The sequence below is a fragment of the Homo sapiens genome, chromosome 5 (assembly GCF_000001405.40).
Source record: "Homo sapiens chromosome 5, GRCh38.p14 Primary Assembly".
Classification (NCBI taxonomy): domain Eukaryota; kingdom Metazoa; phylum Chordata; class Mammalia; order Primates; family Hominidae; genus Homo; species Homo sapiens.
Window position 1 is genome coordinate 177,846,763 of NC_000005.10, and position 25,543 is coordinate 177,872,305.

The 25,543-nt window shown below is 41.6% G+C and overlaps 1 long non-coding RNA gene across 2 annotated transcripts; it reads right to left on the minus strand.

The window, feature by feature from the left end:
- Positions 1-9,379: 9,379 nt before the first annotated feature.
- On the minus strand, positions 9,380-24,437 carry LOC105377753 (uncharacterized). Of its 2 annotated transcripts, none has more exons than NR_188272.1 (2): positions 24,091-24,437; positions 9,380-9,986 (listed from the first exon to the last, which is right to left on the minus strand). It is a non-coding gene; the product is annotated as an uncharacterized LOC105377753 (long non-coding RNA). The 2 variants fall into 2 exon arrangements; NR_188271.1 differs by lacking the exon at positions 9,380-9,986 and adding an exon at positions 17,803-17,872.
- Between the last annotated feature and the right edge of the window lie 1,106 nt (positions 24,438-25,543).

The window sequence follows — 25,543 nt, forward strand, 5'->3', positions numbered from 1 at the left end:
GAGGACGGGGTGAGGGGAGGGAGGAGCACCAGAAGGTTAGAGGGTAGCCTGGTGGAAGCTGTGGGCAGAGCACACTGAGGTGGGGCTACACCAGCTCTCCACCCCTCTCCACCCATCTCCTGGTTTGTGATTATCCCTGCTTCTCCCACTTCTGGGTGAAAAAGGTGGGGAAATAAATTCATGAAGCCGTGAGTAGGTGAGGTGTTAGGGAGACAGCTTGCCAGGGTGGGCAGCACAGATGACTGGTGGGTGGGGAGGGAGGTGGTGGGAGGTGAATGTGCAGATCCTCAGATCTCTGAGAAACAAGGTGGAGGGGGCTAACGTGGTGTGCAGAGTGGCAGGTGGGGGCACTGGTGGCTGATACCTGAGGCACAGGTGTTTCCTGGGAAGAAGGGGATGTGGTCTTTTCCTGGCCATGGGGGAGGCTTTGAAAGGTTCTTGGAGAATTTCTTTTATAGTGAGATTATTTTCAGACTGAGTTTTTTAAAGTGTGGAATGGCACAGAATAGTGCCATTTATTAAGTGCCTACTGTATGCTCAGAACCCATTTCACATGCATCAGCCTGTTTCATTCTCACATAAGGTAGGTACTATTAATTCCATTTCACAGGTGCAGAATTTGAGGCTCAGGGCCATGGGGATGGCTTACCGAAGCACCCTGTGCTTTGTCTTGTGTGTGTGGTGGGTTTTTTTTGTTGTTGTTGTTTGTTTGTTTGTTTTGAGACGGGCTCAGTCTGTCACCTAGGCTGGAGTGTAGTGGCACAATCATAGCTTATAGCTCACTGCAGCCTCAACCTCCCCAACTCAAGCGATCCTCCTGCCTCAGCCTCCCGAAGTGCTAGGATTACAGATGTCAGCCACCAGCCTGCTTTGTTGTTGTTATTGTTGTTTTGAGACAGGGTCTTGCTCTTTGGCCCATGCTGGAGTGCAGAGGTGCAGTCTTGGCTCAGTGCAGTCTCCTGGGCTGACGCCATCCTCCCACCTCAGCCTCCTGAGTAGCTGGGATTACAGGCGTGCACCAACCATGCCCAGCTAACTTTTTGCATTTTTTGTAGAGGTGGAGTTTCACCATGTTGCCCAGCTGGTCAGGTGATCTGCCCACCTCTGCCTCCAAAAGGGCTGGGATTACAGTCATGAGCTTCCTTCTTTCAACGCAAGATGTTCATAGGGGGCTGGAGTCTGTTTAGACAGAATTCATGGGAGGGCCTTGACCTCAGCTTAGCAGATTTGGAGAGGGATGAGAGAAGAGAATACAATATTTAAGACTGTGCCAAATACAGTATTAGGTTCCTATATACATTCTGCATAGTAGATACTATTGAGTGATCTGGTATCGTTTTGACTACTCCAATAGTAACTCCTCTTCCTGTGGGAAGCTAGAGTTTCTGTTAGTATTTGTATGTTAACCGTCCCAATTTTTTTTTTTTCAGCAGGGTCTCGCGTGTCACCCAGACTGGAGTGCAGTATGTGATCTCATCTCACTGCAGCCTCCGCCTCCTGGGTTCAAGCAATTCTCCTGCGTCAGGCTCCAGAGTAGCTGGAATCACAGGTGCGCACCACCAAGCTTGGCTAATTTTTGTATTTTTAGTAGAGATGGGGTTTTGCCATGTTGGCCAGGCTAGTCTTGAGCTCCTGACCTCAGGTGACCCATCTGCCTTGACCTCCCAAAGTGCTGGGATTACAGGCGTGAGCCACCGCGCCTGGCCCCATTGTCCCAATTTTTAAATGTTGGCATCTAATTGAAAAAAAAAAACATGTGGACCAAACAGTGCAGTTCTCAACTGCAGTTCTTCACATGTAGTTCTTGACTGCAGGTGAAAGGAGTTTTTGGCAGCAGAGCTCCTGCAGTGCCACGCTCTGTGCTAGGGTGGCTGGGGACAAAGGCAAGTCAGCCAGGACTCCTTGGGAAGCTTTGATCCACAGGTGAGAGCAGCCTTCTACAGGGGAAAGGAGCACTGTCATAGGATTTGGTGTAATGGGATTTGACCCACGTTATTCTTGAGCTCCTTAGGCATGAATCTGCAGAACGCTTTTTGTAGCTGAAATGGAAAAAGTAAAACACCTTGCAGCAGGCTTTTTGTTCTCCTAAGGGCTTTTGAGTTTCCTAAGGACTTTCCCTATCTCATTTGAGTTACTCCATTAAATGAGCAATAAACCCATTTTCCTGGGGGTCGAGGGGTAGCAGGCAACTAAGGCTCAAGGGAAATAAGTGTCTGAGAGTCACACAGGCTGGGATGAGGGAGAGGCCAGCCTGGGACCCAGCCCTCCTGAGTCTGTTTCCCAGCTTGCTACAAATAGGGAGGGGGAAGTGCGGACAGCTCAGAGAGATGAGACGACTCATCCAAAGACACACATCCAGGAAGCTCAAGAAAGGTACCAAAGCGTGTCCATGCACTCCTTGAGGTAATCTGAAAAATGTTTTATATTTGCACTTTTGTCTGTTTCTCAGAGTAAAAGTCCTAAAACTTTGGACAGATTCTCAAAGGGGTCTGTGATTCTCAAAGAGTTAAGAGCCACTAATTTAAGCTGAGGCCTTTCTGACTCCAAAGCCTGTATTCGGGGGCACCCTCCACCAGATCCTAGTTAAGAGGATATTCTTTAAAATTAAAACCTATATAAGATCTGGGTCTGCATCCTGAAGAAAGCACACTCATGGTAAATGGTCTGGCTATCTATTGCTATGTAGCAAATCATACTGAAATTTAGGGGCTTATAACAACCACAATCAACGTATGGTCTTATGATTCCCCTGTGAGGCATTTTGGAAGGGCTTGGCTGGGTGGATTTCTCTTATGCTTTCATTCAGACAGTGGCTACACCTGGAACAGTGGAGGGGCAGGCCAGAGGGGAGCTGGCTGAGCCTGTCTGCCTCTTCATGTCAGCTCAGGGCCTCGCTGTGTGGTTGGTCTGCATGAGTAGTGAAGGCTTCTTCATAGTGTGACTGCTCAAGGCCACTGGATCATCCACAAGCTGTTCTGGGCCACAGTAGGAGTGTCCAGGCAGCAGGGTGGAAGCTGCATCACCTTTTCCGATCACTGCCACTGTAGTCACAAGGTCTCTCAGGATTCATAGGGTGGGAACAGAGACCCCCACCCATCAATAGGAAACATGTCCAAGACACATTGTTAAGAAGAACATAAGAGCTGAGCATGGTAGTAATCCCAGAACTTTGGGAGGCTGAGGTGGGAGGATCACTTGAGTCCAGGAGTTTGAGACCAGCCTGGCCAACAGAGAGAGACCTCATCTCTACAAAAAATGAAAAAATTAGCCAGGTGTGGTGGTGCACGCCTGTGGTCCCAGCTATGTGGGAGGTTGAGGTGGGAGGACTACTTGAGCCTGAGAGGATGAGGCTGTAGTGAGCCATGATTGTGCCACTGCACTCCAGCCTGGGCAACAGAGCAAGACTGTTAAGAAAAAATATATAAGAACGTAAGGGATGGGAGGTGACATGACTGTGTTTGGAAAGCACAGCATGCCACAGCGTGAGAGTGCAAGTGGCAGCAAGGAGTCCAGTGTGGCTTGAGTGGAGTGGGAGGAGTGGAAGGGGGTGAGCTCAGAGAGGCCGTATGCAGCTCTGTCAAGTTTGGGCTAGTAAACCAAGGTGTGGGCTTTTCATTTCATTCTAAATGAGATGGGAAGCTAATGAAAGCCTTTAAGAAGGGGTGTGATGTGATCTTATGTGTGTTTTAATAAACTTACTGGGGCTGCTGTGTCTGGAGAGAAGGATTGAAGGGGGCAAGAATGGAAGCAGGGAGACCAATAAGGAGTCTACTGCAGTCACGCTGGCCAGAGGTGATGGTGATGATGGAGGCTGTGGGATGGAGAGGAGTGGATGATTGCTGATATATTTTAGAGGGAGAATTATCAGTTTGCTGTTGGAATTGTTGGAGGATGGGAAGGTTGAGGGAAAGTCATCTGAAGAATGACAGTTTGCAGGACTGTGGCTTGAGTACCTAGGTTGATGGTGGTGCCATCAACCTGATGGGGTAATAGGTGTGTGTGTGTGTGTGTGTGTGTGTGTGTGTGTGTGAATTCAGATTTCAGTTTGGAATGTTAAGAGACTGGATTGCTGAGTAGGCCGTTGCATAGATGACAATGGGGGGAAGAGGTCTGAGCTGAAGATGCACAGTTTGGAATATCTTCCCCTAGTTTTGCCTGAAGGCTTTAAGTTGGACATATGCCTCTGATTTTCCTACAGTAGCAGATCTCTGGGCCGGTGGGAAGCTGACAGCAGATTGGACGGGGTGAGATCAAGGGAGACTCATTTTTGGGAGCTCGGTGGCTCCATGGTGGGATCTAAGTGGTCTAAGTGAGATTCCCGTCTCAATACTATTTCACTACTATTTCCCATTCCCACCAGCAAGATATGAGGTTTCCATTTCTCCACATAGTCACCAGTACTTGTTATTGTTTGTCTTTTTGATTATAGCCATACTTGTGGGTGTGAAGTGGTATCTCATTGTCTTTTTAAATTTGCATTTCCATAATAACTAATGATGTTGAGCATCTTTTCATGTACCTACTAACCATTTATATATCTTCTTTGGTAAAATGTCTATTCAAATATTGCACCCATTTTAAAATTATTGAGTTGCAAGAGTTCTTGATATATTTTGCATAAAAGTTCTTTGCCAGATACAAAATTTCCATATATTTTCTCCTAGTCTGTATCTTGTCTTTTCATTCACTTAACAATGTCTTTTTAAATTTTTAATGAGGCTGGGTGCAGCGGCTCCCTCCTGTAATCCCAGCACTTCGGGAGGCCTAGGTGGGCGGATCATTTTCAGTCAGGAGTTCAAGACCAGCCTGGCCAATATTGTGAAATCCCTTCTCTACTAAAAATACAAAAATTAGCTGGGCATGGTAGTGCACACCTGTAATCCCAGCTACTCAGGAGGCTGAGGCAGGAGAATCACTTGAGCCCAGGAAGTGGAGGTTGCAGTGAGCCAGGACTTGAGCCCAGGAGGTAGAGGTTGCAGTGAGCCGGGATTGTGCCACTGCACTCCAGCCTGGGTGACAGGGTGAGACTTTCGCTAAATAAATAAATAAATAAATAAATAAATAAATAAATAAATAAATTTTTAAGGAATCTCAGCTGTGTGTCAGGCTGAGAAAAAACTTTTAATGATGCTCAGTTTCTTATGCATTGTTCTTTGGTGTCATGACTAAATTGTATGTCATAAATATTTTCTCTTTTTTTTCTGAAATTCTATAATTTTGTTTTATACTTAGATCTATGATCCATTTTGAGTTAAATTTTTTATAAGATGTGAAATTTATACTGAAGAGCATTTTTGTTTAATTGTTTCAATAGCAGTTATTAAAAGCAATGTACTGAATTGCTTTTTTACTTTTTGTCAAAAAATAGCCATGTTTTTATGAACTTATTTCTGATCTTCATATTCTATTCCATTAATCTATTTTTCTATCCTTTCACTAATACCACAGTATCTTGATTACTGTAACTTTATAGTAAGCCTTAAAATCTGGTAGTATAATTCGTACGTGTTTGTTTCTCTCTTCAAAAATTCTTTTAGGTAGTCTAGGTCCTTTGCCTTTCTATGTCAATTATTTTAGCTACCTAGTTTCTTTTCCTCTCTGTACAAATTTTAGAGTTGGTTGGTCTGTAGCTACAAAATACTCTGCCAGGATTTTGATTGGAATTTGTTTTATAGTAGTGGTGGGAGTAGATGTCTTTACCTTATTCCCTGGTCTCAGGGGAAAAGCATTTGTCGTTCACCATTTAAGAATGTTAATCTGGGCTTGGCGTGGTGTCTCACACCTGTAATCCTAGCACTTTGGCACTTTGGGAGGCCGAGGAAGGTGGATCACTTGAGGCCAGGAGTTCGAGACCAGCTTGGCCAACATGGGGAAACCCCATTTCTACTATTAAAAAAAATACAAAAATTAGCTGGGCATGGTGGCACTTGCCTGTAATCCCAGCTACCTGGGAGGCTGAACCACAAGAATCACTTGAACCCGGGAGGTGGAGGTTGCAGTATGCCGAGATCACACCACTGCACTCCAGCCTGGGCAACAGAGCAACACTCTGTCTCAAAAAAAGAAAAAAAAAAAAAAAGATAAAAATGAATGCTAGTCTGGGCAACATGGCAAGACCCCATCTCTATCAAAAATGCAAAAATATTGGCCAGGCGTGGTGGTGCATGCCTGTGGTCCCAGCTACTCAAGGGGGCTAAGGTGGGAGGATTACTGGAGCCCAGGAAGTTGAGGCTGCAGTGAGCCGTGATCATGCCACTGCACTCCAGCCTGGATGATAGAGTGAGATGCTGTCTCGAAAAAAAAAAGTGTTAGCTACAGCTTTTTTTTTTTTTTTTTTTTTTTTTTTAGATAGGTATCCTTTATCAGTTGGGGATAAATTATTCACAGTTTGCCAAAAGTTTGTACCATATATGATGATGAATTTTGTCAAATGATTTTTCTGTATCACTTGATATGATCATATTTTTTCTTTAGATTGTTATATGGTGGATTATACTGATTAATTTTGAAATATTGAACCAGTCTTATAGGGATAAACTACTTGATCTTGCATTTTTACACATTGCTGGGTTTAGTTTGCTAGTATTCTCTTTTCTTTTCTTTTTGTTTTTTGAGATGGAGTTTCACTCTTGTTGCCCAGGCCTAGGAGTGCAATGGCACCATCTCGGTTCACTGCAACCTCCGCCTCCTGAGTTCAAGTGATTCTCCTGCCTCAGCCTCCTGAGTAGCTGGGATTACAGGCATGTGCCACCGTGCCGGGCCAAGTTTTTTTTTTTTTTTTTTTTTTTTGTATTTTTAGTAGAGATGGGGTTGCACCATTTTGGCCAGACTGGTCTTGAACTCCTGACCTCAGGTGATCCGCCCCCACCTCGGCCTCCGAAAGTGCTGGGATTTCAAGCATGAGCCACCGTGCCCGGCCCTGCTAGTATTTTCTTAAGGATGTTCACATCTTTGTTCATGAGGGATATTGATCTACGGTGGGTTTTTTAAACACTTTTATTATTGAGTTTTGATAGTTCTTTATATGTTCTATACACATCTTCTCTGTTAAATATGTGGTTTGCAAATATTTTCTAACAGTCTGTGGATTATGTTTTTATTCTCGTTTTTGTTATAATATTTGGCAAATAATAATTGTATATATTCATAGAGTACACAGTGATGCTTCGATACATATCATGTATAATGATCAGATCAGGGTAATTAGCATATCCCTCATCTTAAACATTTATCATATCTTTGTGTTGGGAACATTCAGTATACTTCTAGCTATTCAAAGCTATGTATTATTAACTATAGTCATCCTACAGTGGTATAGAACCCTGGAACTTATTCAGTCTACATATTCATTCTCTTAACAATATGTTTGGATGAGCAGAAGTAATTAATTTTGATGAATTCCAGCTTGTTAAATTTTCATAATTTTATGGATCACACTTTTGGTATCATATCTGTAAAATCTTTGCCAAACCCAAGGTCACAAAGATTTTCTCCTATTTTTTTCCAGGAACTATTTTTTTAAAAAGAGAATAGAAGTTTGTTTGTCTGCAGGTGAAGTAGCTCAATTTGTAAATGTTTTAAAACAAAACATGTCTGTTTTCTTCCTAAACATGTCTAGGAAAGGGCTATGGGTTTTCGGTTTTAATATATTAGCTTATATTATACTAAAAATCACAGATACTCAGCTATGTTTGACCTATAGAAACAGCAGCTTTTAAAATTGTAGGCAGTCAACCTAGTCACATATGTCTTTGGCTCAGTACAGAATCTATCTTTTTTTTTTTTTTTTGGTCTGGTAAAGTCCTATGAATTAGACAAGCCATCTTTAACTCACGCCTAATTAGGGAAACATCTTCCCCAGGGACATACAACAGGAGTCCACTTAGGGGTATGGACTGTAAAGCTCAAAGGTCACTTGGTGCGCGGATCTCCAAAGCAGAGGCCTCCACAGACATTTTACTTGAATTTCATATTTGAAATAACATTCAAGTAAGCACCATAATTAATGCAGTGTGAATCTTCAGATACGTTGCATGCTAAATATTAACATTTTGGAGATGGCTAGCACAGTTTCCTATACCTCTAACTAGGCTGGGTAGATGCTTGACACTAAAGTTTCTCCTCCTATCTCTGTGTGATTAAAGAGGATCCTGACATTGTAAAGCAAGCTTTTAAGTACTGCTAGCCTTTTAAGTACTGCTATTCTTTGCGACCTGGGATTTTCATAATATTTGGAACAACAACAACAAAAGATGAGACTAAGTTCAGTACTGAAGTTGAGACATGACTGCTTCTGTTTCTAGTTTCTTATCTAGTTTCTTATTCTTTTTGACCTGTAAAGCAACGTCATTATTCTCAATGAATGACCTGATAAGTAAGTGTGGTAGAGTAAGTATACAGTGCCATTTTCCTTTTCCAGCAGAGGAAGATTACATTTCCCAGACTACCTTGCATTTGAATGGAGGCCTGTGCCTGGATACTGAGGGCGCCTGGGATGTGGATGGAAGTGGTGTATGTTCTTTTGGAGAAATTCCAGGGCTTTATTTTCCCTAAAGCCTGGCTCTATGCTGGGTTTCCTCCATCTCCCTAGATTAATAAGTTTGGGTAATGATTTTTGGTCATTTTTTCCTTCAAACGGTTGCCAGAAGCAATACTAGAAGAGCAGGTCATTGGATACATGAAATAACATTAACATTCATAGGAGAACTTTTCAGCCATAGGCAAATCTCCAGCAGCCCGGAGAAACAAGACATTAGAAAGTCCAAAAACTCACAGTAGTGGCAAAATCAGTTTAGTGAAAAAAAAAACAAAAAACAAACAAACAAAAAAAACAGTAATAATACTGACAAAAAGAGTTGTCATTTAGAAACAGAATCCAGTTTTGTTTTTGTTTTTGAGACAGAGTCTCTCTCTGTCGCCAAGGCTGGCGATCGCGCAGTGGTGAGATCTCGGCTCACTGAAACCTCTGCCTCCCCAGGTTCATGCGATTCTCTTGCTTCAGCCTCCCAAGTAACCAGGACTACAGGAACAAACCACCATGCCTGGCTAATTTTTGTATTTTTAGTAGAGATGGGGTTTCATTGTATTGGCCAGGCTGGTCTCAAACTCCTGACCTCAGGTGATCCACCTGCCTCAGCCTCCCAAAGTGCTGGGATTACAGGTGTGAGCCACCGTGCCCGGCCAGTAGAAACAGAATCCGGGTTTTGAAAAGAAATCAGGACTGAGACAAGACAGATCCCAGTCCTGTAAGATTTGGATTATGAGAAAGGGAACTGGGGCAAAGTCTCACACTCAGGAGAGAGAAGCATCTTAGTCACTTCCACTGGTCTGCAAGGTGGGTGCTTGGAGATAAGAAATGTACCAAAAACTCAGTTATTAGAACAAAAGCTGCTTTAGTAGGCCCATTGATCTAGGTTAGTGGGCAATCTGAAGAGATGGGGATACAGCCAGGATGACCCATAGTGCCCCTAAAGGATTATTGGACTAAGGAAATTTCCAATTTCCAAAGTTTAGAAATCCACTCTCTTTATAACAGATATCTTCAGATGTACTTGGATGTAAAGGGTGAGGACAAAGATGCTGTTTGTTCCCATAGGCCTGCTTACAGAGTCTCCCCAGAGGGGGTTGAAGTGAAAGAAGCTCTTGCTCAAAAACCTGGTGGAGGAGGTACGAGATGCCAGCCCTCAGGGAAATGTGAAACATGCAGGTATGAGTGGTCCATGCTTAGGAATGTTAGAACAGAGGAGGCCAACCAGGGGTGCCAGCTAGAGATGAGCTCTCTGGAATGGTGTTCAGTCATGTGGAAATCACACCAGATTGGGACTTAAGGTGGAGTCTGGCAGTGGTAGGATAGAATACTTTAAAAGTGGAGGGTGCCAGGTGAATGAATCAGGGATCCAAGGGGTGGGTCACATTTGGTGAGAGCTTGATGTCACGAGACAGTGTAGGGTCAGGTGAGGCCATCACTTTTCTTTACTCTGTTGACACTAAAAGACAAGAATGAAAGGCTGGGAATCAGTTCTTACCATCATTTCTCTGGGCTACAGCAGTCGTTCATTATTCATGAATAATATGTCTTTTTCATTGAATTCATGGGTCTCTGTGTTCTTTTCTGTCATTCATTTAAAGTAGATAAAAATATTTTCTGTTGATTCTTTGAAAATTTCAAATAAAGTGCCTTTGATATGTGATCCTCAATGATCTTTCAGTCATTCTCTGCTTAATAAGGGTGCTGATTCTCAAAACTCGAGATGCAATTTGCTCCAGCAGGTAGGATTCTGGTCTCCAAGGTCAGAGTGAGTTTTTGGAATCTGCTGAGAGAGTTTTGCAGGATGAGAATTTCTTTCCAGATTAACCCTGACACAAAGGCTTGGCCCAAAGACCAAGACTCCATATGGGAAGGTAACTGAGAAGCAAGTATTGTGGGATTCTGTTCTGCTGCAAGTACCCTGAACTTTCTTAATTATCCAATCCAGAATCTCAGACACCAGAGATTTTGAGACAGAGTCCTCTCTCTATACAGCCTCTGGATTTGACTGTGGGCTTTGAAACAAAGCTCTAGTTGCCATTCTGACTCCTCCTCATTCTATCCTGTTCCCCTAGAAGGGTGATGTTCTGCTGTACCTTGTGCGTTCCCCTTTGAGGCATCTCTGTAAATGATTTAGTAAAGTGGGAAGAGGAACAGACAACAAGAATCAGTTCATTTTGGAGGCTAAGTCTAGGGATCACCTACCCAATATTGATAGAAGCAGATTCCTCTGGAGGGAGTGGAGAAACAGAGTGTAGAAAATTAAATAAATACAGGTTCCTCTTCAAAGGGACTTTCCTCCCAGTCTAATTAAGAATAGATAGTAACCTCTCTTAGAAGCAAAATTTACTCAGAGACCTGTGCTGATATTCTTAAATTCTGTTAGCCGTAATAAAGAAATCAATATACTCTGTTCTTAGCTCTTACATTTTAGCCTAGATATTTGCCCTGGCATGCCTGAACCAGTCCAAGCAAGCATTAGGTCACAGCCTACTCCTTTTCCTTATTTGGAAGTGTTTTTGCCTCTCTCAGCATTTCATAAGTTACTTCCTCTCTTCCTTTGTTCTTCTCTGCGTTTGCCTCTTTTGAGAAGTTCTAAGTTGCTAGCCATTCGGGTAGAGTACAGAATGTGAGGTCCTGTTCCAGCCAGTGGAAACTGGACACAGCAGAAGGGTGGACACTTCAGGTTATAAATGACCCTGTCTCCTTTGTTCGTGTGTGCTCTCATGGCGAGACTGCTAGCGAGCGGCACCCTTTCTGCAGAAAGTAAACTAGCCTTGCAGAGAGATACTTTGTCTCAGTGTTGATTTTTGTGATACCAAGCATCGGTTCCCAACACAGAGGATCCCCACATGACAAATGAGCTGGAAAGTAGAAAAATGTCCCATAAAGTCAAGCTTGAACTCACTCATGGGCTACTAGAGTTTCTCAGAAGAAAGAGAGATTTCTCCATCATCTGAACCACACACCTGCCTCAGGCACCTGGGCACTGAGAATGTTCATTAGCTGAGTTCCTGACTTGGATCACATAGCTATGGAACAGTCACTATGGTCTTTTGAGGTTCGTGGAGGGGACACAAAGAAGAAAGAGCCTGCACCTAAAAGCACCTCTCTTACCCTCCAGCCTAGCAGATCTCACCACCCATCATGGACCATCTGCACCCCTCCACTCTTCTCTGAGCCTTGCTATTTTCTAACTCCAACCTTTCAGCACATAATATATATTTTAGTGCAATTCTCTACTTATTCGTATAACCAGAGCTCGATTCAGCTTTAGCCCTTAAAAATTGTCAGCTTTGATCCTACTAATTTTATAGCTTTGAAAGTCTGGAGTTATTCCAGGAATTTTTGTTAATTCCTGGGGAATTATACTCTCATCCTGCTTTGTTTTCAACTCTGGCTTCTGTTTTTGCCTTGCGTAAAGCAGACATAGAGTTCAGCCACGGCTTTCAGGTTCTCCCCAAAACATCCACTTTTACAAGAAAGCTTTAGTGACCAATGTGGCCTCTGTTAAAGATACTTTAAGATTGGCAAAAAGGGAGAGAGGTCCCCATGGCAAGTATTTTTTTAAGAAAGTTTTAAAAATTTTGTGGCAAAATATACATAACAAAAATTTACCACCTGTGATACTGTGATTTATAATAAGAAATATATATTTTAGACTTTGTCCCCAGTTCCTGGCACAGAGCTCCTTAAACCCTGGTAATTTCCTGAGCAATAGAGGTGCTAGGAGAATCTTTTGTTGTAACAGTTGGTCTTTGGCATCAGTCTCTGACAGAGCTCTTAATCCCTTAAACATTCCTGGGTGATAGGGGTGTCTTTTGTTTTAATGAGGTGACTCTTGATGGGCTCCTATACAGAGGTTGGTCACCAGAAAGATTAGGGGATGATTAGAAGCTTGAAATTTTCATCCCCACCACCCATTCTCTGGGAAGCAGGGAGGGACTGGAGACTGTTAATAATGGATCGTGCCTATGTGATGAAGTGAGATAGAGGGCTAGCCTGATTAAGCCCACCAAATGTAACCTGCCTTGCTTGCTTTTCATCGCTGACTTCTGGTTGACCTGAAAACCTATATAGCTAAAAATCACATAGCCAAACAATATCTTAGTAAACTCCCACTAGCTCCTTACGGATAACGTTTCTAATATACATGTCACTATGGTAATGGCTGCTTAAAGTTGTTTCTCAGGAGCTAGGGGGAAGCTCTTGTCCAGTTTGAACCAGTTGAGACCACTGACCCTTCGGCTGGGCCTGCACAAGTGTGCGAGATGTCAAAGGGCCAAAAATTCCTCCCTCAGCTCATGCTAACACTGCCATTTTCTGAATATGTGTCCTCTAAACTGCCAAGAACCCTGGCTATGCTTGTGCAGACCACCGATTTCCTCATTTTTCCCACCTCCAGTCACCTTTCCCCATGCCTTAGACCACCCCACTTCTTTATCCCATGAATGTCCTCGAGCCCTGTATTCAGGGAGGTAGATTCCAGAGCTGTTCTCCCATCCCCTCGCTGGGCCGCCCTGCAAATAAAGTGTTTTCTCTATGGCAAAACTTGTCATTTCAGTGATTGGCTTACTGAACAAGGGGGAAGAGTAAGCCTGGTTCGGTATCCGAAGCCTCTATAAAAATCCCTGAATTAAAAGAGTTCAGAGAGCTTCCAGGTTGGTGAATGTATCCACATGCTGGGAGGGTGGTGCACCTCAACTCCATGGGGACAGACTCTTGTTCTCGGGACCCTTCCAGACCTTGCCCTATGTCTCTCTTCATATGGCTATTTATTCGTGTCCTTTATCACACATCGTTTATTATAAGATAAGCCCGTAAATGTGGGTAAGTGTTTTTCTGAATTCTATGAGCTGTCTTAGCAAATTATTGAACCTGAGGATGGGACTGTGGAAGCCCAGATTTTATAGCCAGCTGGTCAGAAGTACAGGTGACAATGTGGGACTTGTGATTGGCATCTGAAGTGGAGCAGTCTTGTGGGACTGTGTCCTTAACCCTTGGGGTTTGTGCTAACTCTTTAGTGTCAGAATTAAATTGAATGGTAGGTATCAGAGAATTGGTTCGTGTTGGAGAATTGATTGTTGGGGGGAACCCCCACCCCTATATATCTGCTGACAGAAATGAAGCATTAAGAGGAAAAACAGTTGATTTTTCCTTATTTACCATTTTAGCTGTTTTATTATGTGTACAGTTTAGTGGCATTAAGTACATTCTCACTGTTGAGAAACCATGGCCACTATTCTCTCTCAAACTTTTCATTTTGCAAAAAATAAAACTTTGTACCCATTAAACAATAACTCATCTATTCCTCCTTACCTGCAGGCCCTGGCAACTACCATTTTACTTTCTGACTCTATGAATTTGAAGAACTATATAGTATTCATCCTTTTGGTACTGCCTTATTTCACTTAACATAATGTCTTCAAGGTTCACTTAGCGTGACAGCCTTGAGGTTCATGTTGTAGCATGTGTCAGAATTTTCTTAAGGCTGAAGAATATTCCATTGTAGGTCTATGCCACATTTGGTTTATCTGTTCATCTCTTGAACTCTTGGGTTGCTTCCACCTTTTGGCTATGGACTTGGGTGTATGAATACCTTTTTGAGACCCTGCTTTTAATTCTTTTGGGTATATCTCCTTAAGTGAAATTGCTAGATCAATGGCTGGGCATGGTGGCTCACGCCTGTAATCCCAGCACTTTGGGAGGCTGAGGCAGGTGGATCACTTGAGGTTAGGAGTTCAAGACCAGCCTGGCCGACATGATGAAACCCCGTCTCTACTGAAAAATACAAAAATTAGCTGAGTGTGGTGGTGGGCGCCTGTAATCTCAGTTACTCAGGAGGCTGAGGCAGGAGAATTGCTTGAGCCCGGGAGGCGGAGGCTGCAGTGAGCCAAGATGGCGCCTCTGCATTCCAGCCTGGGTGACAGAACAAGACTGTCTCAAAAAGAAGAAGAAAGAAATTGGTAGATCATATGATAATTCTATTTTGAATTTTTTGAGAGACTGCCATGCTGTTTGCCATAGCAAATGCCCCATTTCACATTCCCACCAACGGGGCACAAGGGCTCCAATTTCTCCACATCCTTGCCAACATTTGCTTTTTTCTTTTGTTTTTCTTTTTTGATAATAGCTATCCTAATGGGTGTAAGGTGGTACCTCATTATGGTTTTGATTTGCTTTCTCATAATCACTGGTAATGTTGAGCATCTTTTCATGTGTTTACTGGGCATCTGTATATCTTTTTGGAGGAATGTCCAAGTTCTATTTTTTTATTTTTTTTAATTTTGAGATGGAGTTTTGCTTGTTGCCCAAGTTGGAGTGCAATGGCACGATCTTGGCTCACTGCAACCTCTGCCTCCTCGATTCAAGCATTTCTCCTGCCTCAGCCTCCCAAGTAGCTGGAATTACAGGCGTCTGCCACCACGGCTGGCTAATTTTTTTTTTTTTTTAATTTTTAGTAGAGATGGGGTTTTACCACATTGGCCAGGCTGGTCTTGAACTCCTGATCTCAGGTGATCCACCCGCCTCAGCCTCCGAAAGTGCCGGGATTACAGGCGTGAGCCACCATGCCTGGCCTATTTTTTTTTTTTTTTTTTTTGAGATGGAGTCCCACTCTGTTGCCCAGCTGGAGTAAAATGGCGCCATCTTGGCTCACTGCAACCTCTACCTCCTGGGTTCAAGTGATTCTCCTGCCTCAGCCTCCTGAGTAGCTGGGATTACAGGTGCCCGCCACCACACCTGGCTGATTGTTTATTTGTTTATTTATTTAGAGACGGGTTTCCCCATGTTGGCCAGGCTTGTCTTGAACTCCTGACCTCAGGTGATCCACTCCCTTGGCCTCCCAAAGTGCTGGGATTACAGGTGTGAGCCACCACGCCTGGCCTTGGCCTATTTTTTAAATCTGATTTTTTTGTTGTTGTTGTCATTGGTGAGTTGTAGGATTTCTATATATATTCTGGCTATTAATCCTTTATCAGATATATGATTTGCAAATATTTTCTTCTGTTTTATGTGTTCCTATTTCACTCTGTTGATTTTGTTCTTTGATACCCAGAAGTTTTAAATTTTGATGTAGTCTATCTTTTTCTTTTGCTACCTGTGTTGTTGGTGTCATGTATAAGAAATCGTTGCCAAATCCAATGTCATGAAGTATTCCTCCTATGTTTTCTTCTAAGAGTTTAAGTTTCTTCCAAGATTTATATTTAGGTCTTTGATTTATTCTTAGTTAATTTTTGTTTATGGTATAAGATAAGAGTCCAACTTCATTATTTTTCATGTGGATATCCAGCTTTTCCAACACCACTGTTGAAAAGACTGCCCATTCCCCTTTGAATGGTCTTGACACTTTTGTCAAAAATCATTAGACTGTATAAGCAATGGTTTATTTTTGGCTCTCTATTCTATTTCATTGTTCTACATGTCTGTCTTTATGCTTGCATGACACTGTTTTGGTTACTGTACAGTAAGTTTTGAAATCAGGAAATATGGGATCTCCCACGTTGTTATTTTTACAAGATTGTTTTGGCTATTTGGGGTCCCTTGGGATTGCCTATGAATTTTAGTATCTAAAAAAAATCTACAAAAATAGTCATTGAGGTTGGGACAGGGATTTCATTATATTTGTGTATCACTTTCGGTGGTATTGACACCTTAACAATATTAAGTTATCCAATCCATGAACACAGGATGTCTTCCCGTTTATTGGTGTCTTCTTTAATTTCTTTAAAATACATTTTGTAGTTTTCAGTGTGTCTTTTGCTTCCTTGGTTTACCTTATTCCTAAGTGTTTGCATCTTCCTGATGCTATGCAAATGGAATTGTTTTCTTAATTTCCTTTTCAAATTGTGCATTGTTGGTGTTTAGAAACCCAACTGATTTTTGTGTTTTGATTTTGTATCCTGCAGTTTTGTTCAATTTGTTTCTATCTTCTAACATTTTTTAAAATACAGTTTATAATAAAGTAATACCTGTCTGTATTTTTAAAATTGGAAAATACAGAAAGGAAGAAGGAAATAAACAGCCATTATCCAATCACAATTATGTTTTACATTTTGGTGTCTTTCCATTTAGCTGGTTTTCTATCCTTTTTAAAAACCGAGCTGCAAAGTAACATTTATATATCCTGTCATATGAACCTCCCTTTACTGTTTTGAGGATTTTGATGGCTATATGACATTTAATTAAGTGGACATGCTATGGTTTACATAACCATTACTTTGCAATAGGAGGACTTTTAGGTTGCTTCTAATTTATCACTGTTAACTAATACTGTAGGGAATAATTTTGTACATGAAATTTTTCTATGTTTAAAATTGTTTCCCTAATACAAGGTTTATTAATTATAAAAACAGTTCCAACAATTTAGAATTGTGAAAACCGAAAGTGTTTCCTTCTCCCCTTGTCTTTTTCTTCAGTGGTAACCACTGTTAACAATTTAGTATGTATTTTTTTTCTTAGTTTTAAAATTGTCATAAAATACACACAACATAAGTTTTACCATCTTAACCATTTTTAAGTGTACAGTTAAGTGGTGTTAAGTTGTGAATCCAAAGTATTTGAGACAGATCTCAATCAACGTGGAAAGTTTATTTTGCCAAGGTTAAACAGCCTCAGCAAGTTCCGACAATGATGCAGGATTTTTCTCCGCCCCTTTGCTGGACTCACGGCAGGGGTGCCCCATCTACTTGGCCTGCCGCACTCAGCCCTCTTGTGGGAGGGAGTACGTGAGTGGGTGAGTGAATGCGGGATCCGGCTGGCTGCTCTGGGTGCTGATACGGGAGCAAGCTCTACGCAGCACCCATGGCCAGACCAGGCATGTTGCCTTGAGGGGAATGCCGTGGCACCCAGACAAGGGTGCCTGTGACCCTGAAGCCCCAGAGGCTGTGTTCATGTGCTAATTAGCTCTTTTAGTTCTGCTGCCCACAGCCTGATGGACCACAGATTGTTAGCGGCTCAGTCGGCCCCTGGCCCTGTTGCGTGGGGTGGCTGCACTCTGCCAGCGAGGGCAAAGGGCCAGTGTGACAACCCTTCTGGGTACCCACACTTGGTGGGGCCTGAGCTCTTATCCAGCGTCCAAGAAGAATGAGGTCACACTTGCCGATTGAAGGACGGTGGGGGCAGAGAATTTTATTGAGTGATGAAAACAGCTCTCAGCGGAGAGGGGAGTTGGAGAGGGGATGGGAAGGGCCGCTCGTTGTCTTCCCCTGAAGTCAGGAGGTCTTTGTCCCGAAGTCAGGCCATTTCTTCCCTGAAGTCAGGCTGTCTCCTCCCCAAAGTCAGGCCATCTCCCCTCTACTGACTGAGTCTGGGGTCTTTAGAGACACATGATGGGGGTGGCACAGGCTGTAGGTAGTACAGGAAAAAGCAACATTTGTTTGGTTAAAAGGCATTATTCAGAAAGATCCAATTGGGAGAGAGCAGGCAAACAGGAATAGAAGGTCTCACTCTGCTCTGTGAGTTTCAGGCTGTTTTGGGCTGGAAGGTGGGGTTTCACCAGGGACCCACCCTATCTGACTATGATTTCTCTGCCTCCTGTCTCTATTAATAATGTGCCCAAGGTGGTTGGGGCATGGCCTAGTTTTATACATTTTAGGGAGACATGAGATATCAATAAAGTACATGTAAAATGTACATTGGTTCAGTCTGGAAAGGCCAGACAACTTGAAGGAGGGGGCGCTTCCAGGTTATAGGTAGATTAAAAAAATTTCTATTTGGCAATTGGTCGAAAGAGTTATGTTATTATCTAAAGACCTGGAATCAGTAGAAAGGAACCTCTGGGTTGTGATGATTAGGAGTTGTGGAGACCAAAGTTTTATCATGCAGATGAAGCTTCCAGGTACCAGGCTTCAGAGAGAACAGATTGTAAATGTTTTTCATCAGACTTCAACAGTCTGTTCTATTCAGTAATTTTGAAAGGGAAGAGGGCATAATGAGACATGTCTGCTCCCTGCCTCCCATTATGGTCAGAACCAGTCCCCCTGGTTAGCCTTGGAATGCTCTTGCCAAGAGAAGTCCATTCAGATGGTGGGGCAGGAGGTGGTTAGAATTTTATTTTTGGTTTACAAAGTACATTCACATTGTTCTGCAACCATCACCACCATCTGTCTCCAGAACACTGTTTATCTTGCTGAACTCAAACTCAATACCCATTAAACAGTAACTCCCTGGAATTCTCCCCTTCCCTCAGCCTCTGGCAACCACTATTCTACTTTCTGTTTCTATGAATTAGACTATTCTAGAAATCTCATATAAGTGGAATTATACAGCATTTCTGTTTTTGTAACTGGTTTATTTCACTTTGCAAAATGTGTTCAAAGTTCAAACTCATGTTGTAGCATGTGTCAGAATTTCTTTTTAAAGCTGAATAATATTCTATTATATGTATTTATCACATCTTGTTTACCCATTCATCTGTCACTGAACACTTGGATTTCTTCCATCTTTTCCCTATTGTGAATAATGCTGCTGTGAACATGGGTATATGGCGATCTCCTTGAGACCCTGCTTTTCAATTCTTTTTGGGTCTATACCCCAAAACAGAATTGCTTTATCATATGGTAATTCTATTTTTAACTTTTTGGGAAACTGCCATACTGTTTTCCAATGTGACTTCACCATTTTCCATTCCCACCAATAGTGCACAATGGTTTCAATTTCTACACACCCTTGCCAACACTTTTTATTTTCTGCTCATTTTTTAAATAGTAGCCATCATAATGGGTATGAAGTAGCATCTCATTATCATTTCAATTTTAATTTTTGCTTTTTTTTTTTTTTTTTGAGACAGGGTCTCTCTCCCGTTGCCCAGGCTGGAGTGCAGTGGCACAATCATAGCTCACCGCAGCCTTGACTTCCCAGGCTCAGGTGCTTTTCCTACCTCAGCCTCCTGAGTAGCTGGACTTCAGGCACGCACCACCCCACCCAGCTAATTTTTGTATTTTTGGTAGAGACCGGGTTTTACCCTGTTGCCCAGGCTGGTCTTGAACTCCTGGGCTCAAGCCATCCTCTCACTTCGGCCTCCCAAAGTACTGAGATTGTAGGTATGAGCCACCATGCCTGGCCTGATTTGCATTTTCCTAATGATTAGTGATTGTTCTAACAGTTTTTGTTTGTTTGTTTGTTTGTTTTTTAGTGGACTCTTCAGGGTTTCCTACATTAAATGTGTAATCTGAGAAGAGAGATAATTTTATGTGTTTTTTTTTCCAATTTAGATGCTTTTTATTTCTTTTTCTTACCTGCTTGCTCCAGTTAGGACTTCCAGTACTATGTTGAATAGAAGTGGCAAAAGCAGGCATCTTTATTCTTGTTTGTGATCCTAGACCTTTTGGTCTTTAACCATTTAACATGTTAGCTGTAAGCTTTACATATATGGCCTTTATTATATTGAGGTAGTTCTCTTTTATTTCTAGTTTGCTGGGTACTTTTTATCATGAAAATATGTTGAATTTTGTCAAACGTTCTTTCTGAATCAATTGAGATGATCATGTGGTTTTGTGTTTAATTCTATTTATGTGGAGAAATGCATTTTTTTTTTCGAGATGGGAGTCTCACTCTGTGACTCAGGCTGGAGTGCACTGGCGCGATCTCAATTCACTGCAACCTCCATCTCCTGGATTCAGATTCTCGTGCCTCAGCCTCTCGAGTAGCTGGGATTACAGGTGCCCGCCATCACTCCCGGCTAATTTTTGTGTTTTTAGTAGAGACAGGGTTTCACCATGTTGGCCAGGCTGGTCTCAAACTCCTGACCTCAGGTGATCCGCCCACCTTGGCCTCCCAAAGCGTTGGGATTACAGGCATGAGCCACTGCACCTGGCCGCATTCATTGTTTTTTGTATGTTAAATCATCCTTGCATTCCAGAAATAAATCCCACTTGGTCGTGGTATGTAGTAATTTTAAAGCATTGTTGAATTCTGTTGGCTAGTATTTTGTTAAGGATTTTCACTTCAGTGTTTACCAGGGATACTGGTCTGTGTGGTTTTCTTTTCTTGTAGTGTATTTGTTTGGCTTTTATATTAGGGTAATGCTGGCCTTATAGAATAAGTGGGGGGTGTCCTCTCTTCAGTCTTTTTAACAGTTTAGGAGGATTGCTGTTAATTTTTCTATAAATGTTTGGTAGAATTTACTAGTGAAACCATCTTATTCTAGGGTTTTGTTTTTTTTTTTTTTGGTTGTTGTTGAAAGGTTTTTGGCTATAGATTCAATCTCCTTATTAATTGTAGTCTATTCCAGTTTTCTGTTTCTCCAGATTCACTCTTGGTAGATTGTGTATTTCTAGGATTTTATTCATTTCATCTAGTTATCTAATTTTTCATCATATAGGTATTCACATTACTAGCTTATGATCCTTTTTATTTCTGTAAAAGCAGCAGCAATATCTCCTTTCATTTCTGATTTTAGTTATTTGAGACTTCTCTCTTATTTTCTTAGTCAGTTGGCAGTTTTGCTGATCTTATGGAAGAACCAACTCTTGTTTTTTAATTTTAAAAGTTGTTTTCTATTCTCTATTTTGTTGATCTTTGCTCAAATCTTCATTATTTCTTTTCCTCTGCGAGGTTTCAGTTTCATTTTTTATTTTTCTAGTTCCTTAAGGTGTAAAGTTACATTGTTGATTTGGGTTCTTATTTGGTATGCAAGCAATTACAGCTGTAAATTTCCTTTTTAGTACTATGTTTGCTGCATCCCACACATTTTGGTACATTTGTTTTTATTTTCATTTGTCTGAAGATATTTTCTAATTTCCCTTGTGATTTTTTTCTTTTGACCCATTGTTATTTGAGAGTGTATTGTTTTGTTCTCTCTTTTGTTTTCTTTAGAGATGAGCTCTTGCTCCATCATCCAAGTTGGAGTGCAGTGGCATGATCAAAGCTCACTGCAGCCTCAAATGCCTGGGCTCAAGTGATCCTTCCACTTCAGCCTCCTGAGTATCTGGGATTAAGGAATGTGTTGTTTAATTTTCATGTATTTGTGGATTTTTCAGCACAACTTTTGCTATTGGTTTCTTTCCATTGTGATTGGAAACAATATTTTGTATGATTTTAATCTTTTAAAATTCATTAAGACTTGTTTTGTGGCCTAACACATCCTCTATCCTGGAGAATGTTTCATAATGCACTTTAAAAAAAGTATATTCTATTGTTAGGTGGATTGTGTTGTTTATGTCTGTTAGGGCCATTTCGTCTATAGTGTTGTTCAAGTTCTTGTATTTCCTTATTGATCTTCTGTCTAGTTGTTCTATCCGTTATTGAAAGGGTAGTACTGAAGTCTCCTACTATTTTTTCAAGTTGTCTATTTCTGTCTTCAATTCTGTCAATGTTTGCTATGTATATTTAGGCTCTAATATTTATTGCATAAATGTTTTTAATTGTTATATCTTCTTGGTGAATTGACCCTTTCACCATTATATAATATTCTCCTGTTTCTTGTAACAGTTTTATTTTTACTTAGTGTCTATTTTTAGGCTGGGAGTGGTGGCTCACGCCTGTAATCCCACACTTTGGGAGGCCAAGGCAGGTGGATCACCTGAGGTCAAGAGTTCGAGACCAACCTGGCCAACATGGCAAAACCCCTTCTCTACTAAAAAATACAAAAAAAAACTTAGCTGGGTGTGGTGGCACGCACCCATAGTCCCAGCTGCTTGGGAGGCTGAGACACGAGAATTGCTTGAACCTGGGAGGTGGAAGTTGCAGTGAGCCGAGATCACGCCACTGCACTCCAGTCTGGATGACAGAGTGAGACTCCATCTTAATTTAAAAAAGAAAAAAAAGTCTATTTTTTTCCCTCTGTGTTTCTCTCTGTCTCTCTCTTTTCTTTCTGGAATTCCAATAGCTTATAACTTGGTCCACTTGATGTTGTTCCATATGCTCCCTAGGCTCTGTTCACTTTTCTTCATTGTTTTTTTCTTTTTGCTTCTCAGACTTGATAATTTCAAATGATGTTTCTTCAAGTTCACTGATTCTTCTGCCCATTCAATTCTGATTTTGAACCCCTCTAGTTAATTTTCCAATTCAGTTAGCTTATTTTTCAACTCTAGGATGTCTGTATGGTTCTTTTTAAAAATAATTTGTCTCTTTGCTGATATCCTATTTTGTTCATGTATTGTTTTCCTGCTTCCTTTAATTCAGTGTCTCATTGAGTATATTTAATAAAGACCATTGTTTTAAAGTCTTTGTTTAGTAAGCCTGAAACCTGTGTTTCTTTAGAGTTGGTTTTTGGAGATTTATTTTGTTGACTTTGATCAGGCCGTATTTTCCTGTTTCTTTGTGTGCCTTGTGATTTTAAGAAGGCGTTTGAAAAAACAGCCACCTGTCCTAAGGGACCTAAAATCTCCCCTTTCTACCTATGCAGTGCTCCACTCTGCTGGTTTGTGCTGCTCTGTCTTGGTATTCCCCCAAATATTTTAAATTATTTTTTTCATTTTCATGTAATTTTTTATTTTTTGAAATGGAGTCTCACTCTGTCACCCAGGCTGGAGTGCAGTGGCACGATCTCGGCTTACTGCAACCTCCGCCTTTTGGGTTCAAGCAATTCTCCTGCCTCAGCCTCCTAGTAGCTGGAACTATATGCATGTACCACCACGCCTGGCTAATTTTTGTATTTTTAGTAGAGATGGGGTTTCACTATATTGGCCAGGCTGGTCTCGAACTCCTGATCTCAGGTGATCTGCCTGCCTCAGCCTCCCAAAATGCTGGGATTACAGGCATGAACCACCATACCCGGCCTATTCTTTTCATTTTCATACAGAGCAACTCAACTCTCCCATGACCATACCCAATCTAAACACTTAAACCCATCTTTATATGGAGAATCGGTGAGGCCTCTGTTTTGCATATCCAAACACTTAAGGGAGCAGTAGGAATTCTGTAGAGCAATATTTTTTGTTTGTTTTGAATTACATCTATGGATATTTCCTCTATAAATGGTTTCCTAATTTTTCCCTTTTTAGTTTTTTCACCAAAATTCTTATTGGCCTCTCAATAACTCTTATTGTTGTTGTTGTCAAGACAGAGTCTTGTTCTGTCCTCCAACCTGGAGTGCAGTGGCATGATCTCGACTCACTGCAACCTCCATCTCCTGGATTCATTCGATTCTCTTGCCTCAGCCTCCTGAGTAGCTGGGACTACAGTTGTGCATCACCATGCCCAGCTAATTTTTGTATTTTTAGTAGAGACAGGGTTTCACCATGTTGGCCAGGGTGGTCTCAAAATCCTTACATCAGGTGGTCTACCCGCCTCAGCCTCCAAGGTGCTGGGATTACAGGTGTGAGCCACCACACCAGCTTAAATAATTCTTAAAATTAGTAATTTTTGGTAAAATTTTTAAATATATTTTGTATAAGTTTATATCTAGGTATTTTATCATATAAACATTTAAATATATGAATATATATTTATATTTTAAAATCACATATATATGACTAAAGCAGAACATATATATATCTGCTTTAGTTCTGAATATTAGTCTGGTATATAATTAAGTTGTAACATTATCAGCTTTGTGATATAAAATTTTAAGCTGCTGAAATGAAACTCTATCCTTTCTTTAGTTTGATTTCTTCACTTACCTGATAATTCTAATTATCTTCCAGTTGTTCTGCTTCTCTGGCTGAACCCTGACGGATACATACCCATATGTTGAGGCTTTGCCAGAGGTGACAAGTCTGTTTTCTTTTACAACATCAGCTTCTCTAAAGTCCTCTGACCCCCAAAGGACTTATACTTCAAGACTCCCCTACTCTTCTTTCACTGTAAGATTTTTCCCCTGTCCCTCTACACATCCTGTCATCTCTGGCATTACTATTTATGGCCTGATTCTGCCTTGAATGACCCTGAAGTCCCCAAGACTCACATGTGTAAAAAATTTCTTAGTTTGATTTTGATCAGCTCCTAAGAGAGAATTTCTAGGTGAGAGAAGGAACTGTAAAAACGGTCCATCAACTGCATTCTTCAAAAATGTTGATGTCATAATAGGCACAGAAATGCTGGGGAACCTTTATAGATTCAAGGAGACTAAGGACATATAATAACTAAATATAGTATGAGGTTCTAGACTGGAACATGTACTGAAAGAAAAGAATGCTATAAAGAACATTTCTGGCTAAATTGACACAAATGAAATACAGACAGTAGATTAAATAAAATTCCATGTTTCTGTTCAATTTACCAACATCGATAACTATACTGGGGGTAGGAAACAGAACATCCTATTTCTTAGGAAATACTGAAATATTTAGGGGTAAAGGGTAAGATGTATGCAACTTACAATGTGATAGGTCTTGGATTTGTGTCCCTGAGAAAATTTCCAATTGTAAACCCCAGTGTTGGAGGAGGGGCCTGGTGAGAGGTGACTGGATCATCGGAGCGAATTTCCCCCTTGCTGTTCTCGTTACAGTGACTGAGTTCTTATGACATCTGGCTGTTTAAAAGTATGTGGCACCTCCCTGTCTCTCTGTTTCCTGAGACCTGCCCAGCCATGCTTCCTGTACAGCCTATGGAACCACGAGCCAATTAAACCTCTTTTTTTTTTTTTTTTTTTTTTTTTTTTTGAGACAGCTTTTTGCTCTGTAGCCCAGGCTGGAGTGCAGTGGTGCAATCTAGGCTCACTGCAAGCTCCGCCTCCCGGGTTCACACCATTCTCCTGCCTCAGCCTTCCAAGTAGCTGGGACTACAGGCGCCCGCCACCACGCCCGGCTAATTTGATTATATTTTAAGTAGAGACGAGGTTTCACCATCTTGGCCAGGCTGGTCTTGAACTCCTGACCTCGTGATCCACCCGCCTTGACCTCCCAAAGTGCTGGAATTACAGGTGTGAGCCACCGTGCCTGGCCCAATTAAACCTCTTTTCTTTATAAATTACCCAGTCTCAGGTAGTTCCCTATAGCAATGTGAGAACGGACTAATGCACAATTGCCAAATGTTTAGACAAAAGAGTAGTAACGTAGATATATGTAGAGAAAGCAAATGGAGGCTGGGCACAGTGACTCAGGCCTGTAATCTCAGCACTTTGGGAGGCCAAGG